Source organism: Homo sapiens, chromosome 9, assembly GCF_000001405.40.
Source record: "Homo sapiens chromosome 9, GRCh38.p14 Primary Assembly".
Classification (NCBI taxonomy): Eukaryota; Metazoa; Chordata; class Mammalia; order Primates; family Hominidae; genus Homo; species Homo sapiens.
In genome coordinates, this window is record NC_000009.12 from 32435595 (window position 1) to 32448094 (window position 12500).

The following is a 12500-nucleotide window of genomic DNA, read 5'->3' on the forward strand; positions in this document are numbered from 1 at the left end:
TGTAAGGTATGTTTCCTGACACTGCAAAGTTTCCTTTCACTGAGGCCCCACAGACAAGATTTCCTCTGGTTTGGGGACCAGAAATAGCTGTTCTGCCTCTTTAGCACTGCCTCGATTTTTCTCTCATGAAAGTTGTAAGTTATGTTGCCAGCTGTGTGTCTTTCCTTTGCATTGAGTTCCTGATAATTCAGGGACAAATTTGAAACTATTTCTGGTTACTTTGTGGAACGTATTTTGTGTTTCCCCCTGTTTGTGGCTCCATCTGATTTGCCTACCCTAATTCTTCCCTTTGCTTCCATTTTCTCACTTATTTTTAATTTAGCTCTTTATCTTATATGAAGCTTTATAGGCTACCCTACTAACAAATAAAACATTCTTTTTTAGACTTCCTTCTTATTTTTCTAACCAGATTTGAAAGACAATTAACCCAGGAGAATACTGACTTATGCCTCTCACCACCCCTTCTCACCTCTCTCTCTTCTCCGTTGAAGCTTTGGGGACAGCTTTTCTGCCATGGAGAACAATGCTTAGGAGACTTAGAGAAATAGCCAGGTCTATGTTTTGTTTTGTTTTGTTTTTTTCTTTTCTTGGTGTAAGCTAAGGTTAATCTTTGCTTGCTTCACTAAGCCAGCTCCTTTCTTGCTTGCCTTCTTAGCCTAACTCCACGAGAATTCAACTCCTATGGCTCCCGCCGAGGTAATGACGCCGTCATGGCACGGGGAACATTTGCCAACATTCGCTTGTTAAACAGATTTTTGAACAAGCAGGCACCACAGACTATCCATCTGCCTTCTGGGGAAATCGTGAGTATTGTCTTCTGCTTCCTGCAGACACTAGCATTTGTCAGCCTTGGTGGAGGTTGGATATTTACAGTTACTCGCCTTTTGGTTTTAGTTTTTCTTCACAGCTCCATCCTACCCTAACTACAGTCCTCCTTGCCAGGTGTCCATATGCATAGAATGTATCATTGACAAATTCAAACCTTTTCTTCTTGCTTAGAGATTCTAGACCGTGGTTTCACTGAGTCTCTTTTCTTAGGAATTGAGCTTTGAGTGACATTTCATTTAAAGTATTCGAAGGGGAAATACCAGGTTAAATTAAAGGATATTTATCAAGAAGTGCTATTGTATGACTTTATTGGCATGTAATTTAATTCATCTAATCCACATGAAAAGAAGGAGTAGAGAGGTGCTTGGAGGCATGTTTTGGTTCTAATGGGAGCACTGTGGTCAGTATGTTGCAGCAGGGACTGTTTGTTCCCAGCTCCACGTTATACTAGCTGTGGAGCCTTAAAGTTATTTCCATCTCTGAGCCTTGCTTTTCTCACCTGTGAAGTAAAAATACTACTTACCTTGGAAGAACGCTCTGAGGCTTAAAATGAAATGGAATGAAATATAAAACCTAGCATAGAGTCTGGTACATGTCATAGGTCCTTAGTGTCACTTCCCTTCCCAGTGAGTGCTGTGAAATTGCCTGTAAACTGTTTAACTTACTTGAGAAATAACCCTGCCGACTTATTTTAAAATAATAATCGCTAATATGTCTATGGCACTTAACTACATTCCAGGTGTTCTCCTAAGCTCTTGGCATATATTGATTTATGTAATGCTCATAACAACCCCTTGAGGTAGGTACCATGATTATCTGTGCTTTAAATTGAGAAGTGAAGCATAAAGAGGTCATATTACTCCTTTAGGTCACACAGTGGAAAAGCTGAAATTAAAACCCAGAAAGTCTGGCTCTGAAGTCAGTGCCCTTTACCACCACACATACTGCCTCACTCGTAACTGATTATATTTTTGTAACACAAACTCGTTCTTTAGAAATAACCAGTACCTAGCCCAGCAGACGCCTGTTCAATGGATAGCAGAGGTTACAGAATATTAAATGTAAAAAGATACATGTCGAATGATGGAATACCTTAGAGACCAAGGGGAAAGACTTGTAGTTATAGACATTGGGGGACCCCTAATAAACATCACAGTGTACCACACGCATTTACAAGCCCTGCATGACATAGAACTTCTAGTCAGATGTCTAGAACCTCATCTTAAATGAGACAGAATCAAGGATGAACAGACATTTGAGTCAAGACTTGAACAGGGTGATGGGGAGTGCAAAAAGTAAAAGAAAAAAATTATATACTTAGAGAAGAGTTCATTTTCTGTTGCTATGAAATAACAATCAGAAGACAAGAAAGAATGTTTTAAATTTAAAAAGAAAATTCAAAGGAGAAGGTGATTAGTTGAGAACATTTCCTAGAATATGTAACAGAAAGATAAGAGAAAAAAATGTAAGAACTGAACTCAGGAGGCCCTAACAACCTGCCTAAATAGAAGTGTTAAAAAGAGAACAGAAAAAATGCAAGAGAGGAAATTATTTCAAAACAAAACAAAAAACTACAAGCAAAATTTCTCTGAGAATCCAGATTGAAAAGGCCCACTGAAGGCCCATCTAAATAATTTTAAAACACTCCAAGTTATATCACTGTGAAATTAAGAGCAACAAAAGGAGAAATCTCAACATTTCCAGAGAAAAACAGCTCACATGAAACAACAGGAAATAAGACATGTTCCAGACTTCTTGATGCTAGAAACTTAGACTGAGGAAAATGATTTGCATCCTAAAATCTACACCCATCAGACCATCAGTCAAGTGCACTTAAAGTAATGACACATTCAGATATTCAAAAGCTTAAAAAAGCCCTCAATACCTTCCTTAGGAAGCTACTTGGCAATGTGTTCCACCAAAATGAGGGAGTAAATCAAAAGGGAAGACATAGGATCCAGATGAAGGGAATCCCCAGGATGCTAGTGAAGGAAGAGTCCTCTGTAACAGGAATGCACCAAGCCCAGAGAGCAAGCAGTCAGCCCAAGTTGGAACGGGACTGAGAGCTCCAGGAATGATAGCTCCATGACAGAGATTTTAAAATGGTAAATTGCCTGATGTGTCTGAATATCTTTAAAGGTGATTTGTACTGTAGGGTTTAATTAATGGGTAAGGACATAGAAACAGGAAAAACATAGAAAAAATGAAAATTAGTAATTTTCAAAAAAATTCATTCAAAACAAATGAAAATTACTGACTCCAGTGAAACATGTCTTAAATCACCAAGAAAAGGAAATCACAGCACATTACCTGGCTCAGCTGTAAATAGTATTTATGTAGTCATAATCATGCAAACACCAAATGCTGACTTACCAAAATAACTATATTGGGAGGTTGGGAAGAAGGGAGATGTGTGGAAGAGGAGAGATTGTTAAGAGAAGTAAATCCTCAAAGTAGAATATTGACAGATAATTTTAAAAAGTGGAGAAATCAAGAACTAGTAGTTTAAACATAATACCTAGAGATACACAGGCACAGTAACAGAAGAAATAGCTAAATGCTATGTTCTCTTTAGAAGAGCGTAAGAGTGCAGGGAGCTGTTGCTTTCTAAGCTGTCAGTGGCTCTCAGCATGGCGTGTTTAATAGAAAAGTCAGGAGACGTGAGTTCTAGACCTGCTTAGTCCCTCTGATCTTGGGTAACATGACGTGCTTTGCCATGAGATTGTCAACTTTGCAGTACTTTTTAAAGCACACACTCTCACATTGTTAATACCCAAAGCTACAGTCTCTGAAAATATCAGATAAGTTGTTTCTTTCTGGTCTTTGAAAGGATCCAGACAATTCAGTTAGAAGAAGGTTTTCACTGTTTCTATGACAGTTTCTATATTTACGAGTTCTGTCTAGCTGAAGACATACAGAATCCTATCCGGGTTTAGGTAATGCATGCGAAATTAACCACAGGTTCCATCAGTACACCAAAATACAAATTTGTGAAAGTCTGTTTGAGAGTTTTCTTTAGCTCCTGTCTCTCTTTTGAGGAATTTTATCTTCTGACTTACATAGCCTGGAAAAATAATGGTACTGCTCAACCACCAGAGATGATATCATGTCTTTGTAAAGTCTCAGTTCAGTGAGATATTCAGATTCCCTGTGAGAAACAAATCTGTTTGTATAAGATGTTTCTCATGTACTAAAATATTAATCTTTTTCTACCTTTTATTGGGCTTCCATTTGCATTTCTAGCATCTCTTCCCTTGACCTCCATGAAGAAAGGGGACTGATAAAAGTTTGCACTTTATATAATTTCAGAACATGTTACCTTCTTTGTGTTTTGCTAATTTTACAACTGACATCACCGAGTTTCTGATATTGAGCCAAAATGTTTAGGTCACATTCTGTTTTTTGAGTTTTAAAATAATTTAGTCAATGGAAAAGAAAAAATCTGATCTAGTTTCCTTTTCTCCCCTGATGCCTTAGGATTCTAATGTTTTTATAAAACCAACAACAATTAGGCATTTCTGTCAAAAGAATATAAAATGGTTTTTAAGAATACAAAATTTAAGGCCGGATGCAGTGGCTTACGCCTGTAATCCCAGCACTTTGGGAGGCCGAGGTGGGAGGATCACTTGAGGTCAGGAGTTCAATACCAGTTTGGCCAACATGGTGAAACCCCATCTCTACTAAAAATACAAAAATTAGCTGGGTATGGTGGTGTGCGCCTGTAATCCCAGCTACTTGGGAGACTGGAGCAGGAGAATCAATTGAAACCCGGGAGGTGGAGGTTGCAGTGAGCTGAGATCGTGCCACTGCACTCCAGCCTAGACAATAGAGTGAAACTCTATCTCAAAAAAAAAAAAAAGAATACAAAATTTAATTTGGTAGAAGTAAAAAGATCAAGATAATTGGGAATTTGTAGACAAGATGATTGGACGGATTTGGCCATCTGCAAACCCATCCAGCCCCGCCCTCACCAGGGCTCAGGGGACCTGTGTCCATTCTTTGCCTCTCCTGCATCTGTAAAACTTCCTTTTCTCTTCCTCAGCTTGATGTGTTTGATGCTGCTGAGCGGTACCAGCAGGCAGGCCTTCCCCTGATCGTTCTGGCTGGCAAAGAGTACGGTGCAGGCAGCTCCCGAGACTGGGCAGCTAAGGGCCCTTTCCTGCTGGTGAGTATGAAGTAGACATCCTAGGAGGCAGCTCCCCTCTGAACTGGGAGGGTCCCCAGGCACAAATCCTGTTGCTTTACTTTCCAAGAAGATGTCAAGGAAGAGCAAGCTCAAAAAAGCAGGTAGTGTTTATTCCTGGCCTGCTTCTTGGTGCCTCTGGATTTATTTTATTTGGTGAAGGGCAATGCAGAGTTGAACTGGATCTATCATTCATTAATGGACCTTGGGGGCATGTCTATAGAACAGTTTTGGGGTAGGGTCTGTGAAGTCTCTGAAAACATATCCAGAAGTATACATGTATGTCTTTCATGGGGAGAGGTGTCATGGCTTTTATAACATTCTCAGAGGCTGAGGACCCCAAATTTATTCAGGTCCCTTGTTCCAGGTGAATGTCAGGAATAAGCCAGGGCCATTGTATTATCTGTCAGTTTCACAGAAGAGAAAAGGAGCCTGGACTTTTTCAGGAGTTACTTTGGCAAGAATGGGTTCTAAGTCTCCTGGAAAATTGGGAGAATCACTTTTTATAATTGCACTTCACTGCCTATGAATATCTGCTTATGGGCTCTCGATGAGAGTGAAACTCACTCTGCACATACCCAGGCAGCTCTTTAGAACCTTCCGCCATCTCGGGGCTCTACCTCTTGAGGTGTCCCCATAGAAGGGGCCATGCAGGGAGCAGAGAGCTTTTGCCTCTTGAGCATTTGCTTGCCCTAAAAGCAGAGAAGAATCATGCCACCCAGCCTGAATCTTCAGGGTGGGGTACACATGGCTTACCTGATGTCAATTTAAATCATTTGTGGCTCGCAAATTAATGCACCTCGGAAACACTAAGTTCATATCCACAAGTACAGTAAAAAAATGTGGCTGTCTGGCAGGCAGTTCTCCAGACATTTAGGCTTCTGATAATGTCTTTGAACATCACACCTATTATTTTAATTGGTTATTTTGCTCTGAGGAAAATAGAAATGTTCTCTGATTAGTTGATAGTAGGTCAAAGGCCTGTCTTTTCTGGAAACTATTGAAAAGAACCAGATAATTGCAGAAGAAAAGGATTTTAGGAAGGGGGTTGGGAGCTGTAGCCAAAATGCAACCCAGGCAGTCAGCACTCAGGTAGGGAACTCTAAGATCTGATAGAGGATAAGAAGAGAACTGGCCCCCAGGGGTTCTCTAGAGTCCAGACTTTTCTATAGAACCGCTTGAGTTCTGGCTGCCCAGGAAGCCATACAGTCTTCTGTTCTGTAGCTGTCCAGGCTGGGCCACGTAGCCGTGCTGGACTGTACTTACAGAGAGCAGTGGACAGCTATGATTTACAGCTTCTGAAGCAAAGCAGCATGGCCTTTACACAGAGCTAGTGACATGAATAGGGTGTGTTTAGAAAGCTTTCTACCTCCCTAGAATACATCCATCTATCCCTAAAACCCTAGAAAAGATCTACCGCCCCAAAGAATCTGCCCTCTCTCTGTAGCAGTGCGTCTCAAGTTTGGAAACACTTATGGGATTTTTTTTTTTTAATACTTTAATACCTGTGTTTGGATCTCATCTCCAGAGATTCTGGTTTAATTGGTAAGGAGAAAGGCCTGGACATTGGGATTTTAAAAGCCTCCCCTGCTGATTCTGGTATGCAGCAGTGGTTGAGAACCATTGCGCTATAGTTCACGGTTCTCAAAATTGTAAGAATCACTAGCCCCCTCCCACCCCACGCTCCCTGCAAGACATTCTGATGCAGCAGATCTGGGGTAGTACGCAAGTATCTATGTTTTCAACAAGCTCCTAAAGTGACCCTGGTGTTGGGCATCTTAAAAGTGTGCCCTAGATACCAAGAGACCTCTTAGGGTATTTTAATATTATATGACAGTTATTAATTATTAATAATAAACTAATGGGGAGTTCTAGTTAATGGAGTACCATCCTTTATTGCTGTATATTGCCAATTATAGATTCCCAATAAAACATACTTTAAGCTTAATATCAAGACTATATTCAACACAATTTCATCTTTGAAGCAGGAAGTGTAAAAGCAGTACACAAGAGGTAATCATTTACTTTATCTGTGGTATGTTCTGAAAGTTGCTTTTTTGATTGAACTTTCTGTGCCTGCTGATACACCTAAAATAGTAGAAAAAAATCAAGGGAAAAATTTTATGTTGTTTTGTGATGTGGATTCCAGATACAATGTAACTTTGCTAAAACATGTTATATCATTTGTCAGACTTCATGGGTCCAATTACCAGATACCAGCACTGACTCCCTGGGTAAAGGGGGACAATAAGGGCATCTACATCCCCGGGTTAGTGGATGGTGGAATGAGAGGAATTATTTAAGTGCTTACATAGTGCCTCTACATTATGAGCAATCAGTGAAGACTAGCTATTGTGTTATTTATCACTAGAGGATAACATTTTATGTAAAATATTAATATGTACTTACAAATAATTTAGGTGTGAGAACAGTTCTAACTTACAAAGTCTTTTGTTTATTTTTGTTTTTTTAACAATCACCGGCTCAAGAAGCTTATAATTTGGGGTAGGGCACAGACCAGTAAATAGACAATTACAAAGCAATATAACAGAAGAAAGCACGGTGTTATGAGGCAAAAATAAGGACCACTAACTGAAAATTTATTAAGCCATTTTCTGTCATCCTAGATGTATTCAAGATGTAATTCCCTTAGAGTACAAAGTTAATGTAAAAAAAACGCTTCATTGTGACCTTCAGTCTAGAAGATGTATGGCAAAATTAGGCTGAAGCATCTTTTTCTCCTGTGACATTAGACATCTGATTTCACTGAAATATAGCACACAATTACTGGAAATGAGGGCCTATAAAAGTCCACAAAACCAAGTGACTTTTCAAGATATAACAGAGGTAAAAGGTTACTGTCATCACTGTCTATGAATCATCTCATTATCGATATTCTAGACTTTGAAGTAAAATAATAAAAAGTTTACTTAAAGCAACAGCATCAGATAATTAAACAATTCTTTGGTATTTAATACTAATATTTCAGAAATAGAACTCCAGAGTATTTCCAGATGTGCATATGCTGATCGATTTTTAGGTTTATCATCCTTCGCTTTATAACGGAAGTCATTTCTTATACATTGATAGAATGTAGTATGAGTGTAGTGATATTTTTCACTCTGACATTAACTAAAAACATGGTGTAAATGGAGAATTATAGAGGTAGCAAGGCAAAGGTTACAAAATATATGCAAACATTTTTGTTTATTTGTATGCTGTATTTCATTGTTGTGTTTTTATTATACTTTAAGTTCTGGGGTACATGTGCAGAATGTGCAGGTATACATGTGCCGTGGTGGTTTGCTGCACCCATCAACCCATCATCTACATTAGGTATTCCTCCTAATGCTATCCCTCCCCTAGCCCCTGACCCGCCAACAGGCCCCAGTGTGTGATGTTCCCCTCCCTGTGTTCATGGGTTCTCATTGTTCAACTCCCACTTATGGGTGAGAACATGCAGTGTTTGGTTTTCTGTTCTTGTGTTAGTTTGCTGAGGATGATGGTTTCCAGCTTCATCCATGTCCCTGCAAAGGACATGAACTCATCCTTTTTTATGGCTGCATAGTATTCCATGGTGTATATGTGCCACGTTTTCTTAATCCAGTCTATCAATCATTGATGGGCATTTGGGTTGGTTCCAGGTCTTTGCTATTGTGAACAATGCCACAATAAACATACGTGTGCATGCGTCTTTATAGTACAATGATTTATAATCCTTTGGGTATATACCCAGGAATGGGATTGCTGGGTCAAATGGTATTTCTGGTTCTACATCCTTAAGGAATCGCCACACCATCTTCCACAATGGTTGAACTAATTTACACTCCCACCAACAGTGTAAAAGCATTCCTATTTCTCCCCATCCTCTCCAGCATCTGTTGTTCCCTGACTTTTTAATGATCGCCATTCTAACTGGTGTGAGATGGTATCTCATTGTGGTTTTGATTTGCATTTCTCTAATGACCAGTGAGGATGAGCATTTTTTCATATGTTTGTTGGCTGCATAAATGTCTTTTGAGAAGTGTCTGTTCATATCCTTCACCCACTTTTTGATGGGGTGAGAGAGGGCATCCTTCTCTTGTGCCGGTTTTCAAATGGAATGCTTCCAGTTTTTGCCCATTCAGTATGATATTGACTGTGGGTTTGTCATAATAGCTCTTACTATTTTGAGATATGTTCCATCAATACCTGGTTTATTGAGAGTTTTTAACATGAAGGGCTGTTGAATTTTGTCAAAGTCCTTTTCTGCATCTATTGAGATAATCATGTGGTTTTTGTCTTTGGTTCTGTTTATGTGATGGATTACATTTATTGAATTGCATATGTTGAACCAGCCTTGCATCCCAGGGATGAAGCCCACTTGATCATGGTAGATAAGCTTTTTGATATGCTGCTGGATTCGGTTTTCCAGTATTTTATTGAGGATTTTTGCATCGATGTTCATCAGGGATATTGGCCTCAAATTTTTTTTGGTTGTGTCTCTGCCCGGCTTTGGTATCAGGATGATGCTGGCCTCATAAAATGAGTTCGGGAGGATTCCCTCTTTTTCTATTGATTGGAATAGTTTCAGAAGGAATGGTACCAGCTCCTCTTTGTACCTCTGGTAGAATTCGGCTGTGAATCCATCTGGTCCTGGGCTTTTTTTGGTTGGTAGGCTATTAATTACTGCCTCAATTTCAGAACTTGTTATTGGTCTATTCAGGGATTTGATTTCTTCCTGGTTTAGTCTTGGGAGGGTGTATGTGTCCAGGAATTTATCCATTTCTTCTAGATTTTCTAGTTTATTTGCGTAGAGGTGTTTATAGTATTATCTGATGGTATTTTGTATTTCCGGGGGATCACTGGTGATATTCCCTTTATCATTTTTTATTGCCTCTATTTGATTCTTCTCTCTTTCCTTCTTTATTAGTCTGGCTAGCAGTCTGTTTTGTTGATCTTTTCAAAAAACCAGCTCCTGGATTCATTGATTTGATTTTTTGAACAGTTTCTGGTGTCTCTGTCTCCTTCAGTTCTGCTTTGATCTTAGTTATTTCTTGCCTTCTGCTAGCTTTTGAGTTTGTTTGCTCTTGCTTCTCTAGTTCTTTTAACTGTGATGTTAGGATGTCGATTTTAGAACTTTCCTGCTTTCTCTTGTGGGCATTTAGTGCTGTAAATTTCCCTCTACACACTGCTTTAAGTGTGTCCCAGAGATTCTGGTACGTTGTGTCTTTGTTCTCATTGGTTTCAAAGAACATCTTTATTTCTGCCTTCATTTCATTTTTTACCAGTCATTCAGGAGCAGGTTGTTCAGTTTCCATGTAGTTGTGTGGTTTTGAGTGAGTTTCTTAATCCTGAGTTCTAATTTGATTGCACTGTGGTCTGAGAGACAGGTTGTTATGATTTCCATTCTTTTGTGTATGCTGAGGAGTGTTTTACTTCCAATTATGTGGTCAGTGTTAGAAAAAGTGCAGTGTGGTGCTGAGAAGAATGTATATTCTACTGATTTGGGGTAGAGAGTTCTGTAGATGTCTATTAGGTCAGCTTTGTCCAGAGGTGAGTTCAAGTCCTGGATATCCTTGTTAACTTTCTGTCTTGTTGATCTAATATTGACAGTGGGGTGTTAAAGTCTCCCACTATTATTGTGTGGGAGTCTAAGTCTCTTTGTAGGTCTCTAAGAACTTGCTTTATGTATTGGGTGCATATATATTTAGGATAGTTAGCTCTTCTTGTTGCATTGATCCCTTTACCATTATGTAATGGCCTTGTCTCTTTTGATCTTTGTTGGTTTAAAGTCTGTTTTATCAGAGACTAGGATTGCAACCCCTGCTTTTTTTTTGCTTTCCATTTAGTTGGTAAATCTTCCTCCATCCCTTTATTTTGAGCCTATGTGTGTCTTTGCACCTGAGATGGGTCTTCTGAATGCAGCACACTGATGGGTCTTGACTCTATCCAATTTGCCAGTCTGTGTCTTTTAATTGGGGCATTTAGCCCATTTACATTTAAGGTTAATACTGTTATGTGTGAATTGGATCCTGTCATTATGCTGTTAGCTGGTTATTTTGCCCATTAGTTGATGCAGTTTTTCATAGCATCGATGGTCTTTACAATTTGGTATGTTTCTGCAGTGACTGGTATCGGTTTTTCCTTTCCATGTTCATTGCTTTCCTCAGGAGCTCTTGTAAGGCAGACCTGGTGGTGACAGAATCTCTCAGCATTTGCTTGTCTGTAAAGGATTTTATGTCTCCTTAACATATGAAGCTTAGTTCGGCTGGATATGAAATTTTCGGTTGAAAATTCTTTAAGAATGTTGAATATTGGCCCCCATTCTCCTCTGGCTTGTAGGGTGTCTGTAGAGAGATCCATTGTTAGTCTGATGGGCTTCCCTTTGTGGGTAACCCGACCTTTCTCTCTGGCTGCCCTTAACATTTTTTTCTTTTGTTTCAGCCTTGGTGAATCTGACAATTATGGGTCTTGTTGAGTATCTTTGTGGTGTTCCATGTATTTCCTGAATTTGAATGTTGGCCTGCCTTGCTAGGTTGGGGAAGTTCTCCTGGATAATATCCTGAAGAATGTTTTCCAACTTGGTTTCATTCTCCCTGTCACTTTCAAGTACACCATTCAAACGTAATTTGGTCTTTTCACATAGTCTCATGTTTCTTGGAGGCTTTCTCTGTTTCTTTTCACTCTTTTTTCTCTAATCTTTTCTTATTGCTTTATTTCATTGAGTTGATCTTCAATCTCTGATATCTTTTCTTCCACTTGATCAATTCAGCTATTGATACTTGTATATACTCACGAAGTTCTCGTGCTGTGTTTTTCAGCTCTATCAGGTCATTTATGTTCTTCTCTAAATTGGTTATTCTAGTTAGCAATTCGCCTAACCTTTTTTCAAGGTTCTTGGCTTCCTTACATTGGGTTAAAACATGCTCCTTTAGCTTGCAGGAGTTTATTACCACCCACCTTCTGAAGCCTGCTTCTGTCAATTTGTCAATCTCATTCACCGTCTAGTTTTGTTCCCTTGATGGTGAGGAGTTGTGATCCTTTGGAGGAGAAGAGCCATTCTGGTTTTCGGAATGTTCAGCGTTTTTGTGCTGGTTTCTCCCCATCTTTGTGGATTTATTTACCTTTGGTCTTTGACATTGGTGACCTTCGGATGGGGTCTCTGAGTGGATGTCCTTTTGGTTGATGTTGATACTATTACTTTGTTTGTTAGTTTTCCTTCTAACAAGCAGACTCCTCTGCTGCAGGTCTGCTGGAGTTTGCTAGAGGCCTACTTCAGACCCTGTTTGCCTGGGTATCACCAGCGGAAGCTGCAGAACAGCAACGATTGCTGCCTCTTCCTTCCTCTGGAAGCTTTGTCCCAGAGGCGGACCCACCAGCTGCCAGCCAGAGCTCTCCTGTATGAGATGTCTTCCAGTCAGGATACATGGGGGTCGGGGACCCACTTGAGGAGGCAATCTGGCTTTATCAGAGCTCAAATGCTGTGCTGGGAGGACCACTACTCTAT

At 39.7% G+C, this 12500-nt stretch overlaps 1 protein-coding gene across 4 annotated transcripts in view; it reads left to right on the plus strand.

The window, feature by feature from the left end:
- ACO1 (aconitase 1) overlaps window positions 1-12500 on the plus strand; it is a 70127-nt gene that overhangs the window by 50952 nt on the left and 6675 nt on the right. For all 4 annotated transcript variants that reach the window (NM_001278352.2, NM_001362840.2, NM_002197.3 and 1 more), the window contains 2 exons: window positions 656-803; window positions 4871-4993. In NM_001278352.2, the coding sequence (NP_001265281.1) occupies window positions 656-803; window positions 4871-4993 (271 nt within the window). The remainder of the gene's footprint in view (window positions 1-655; window positions 804-4870; window positions 4994-12500) is intronic.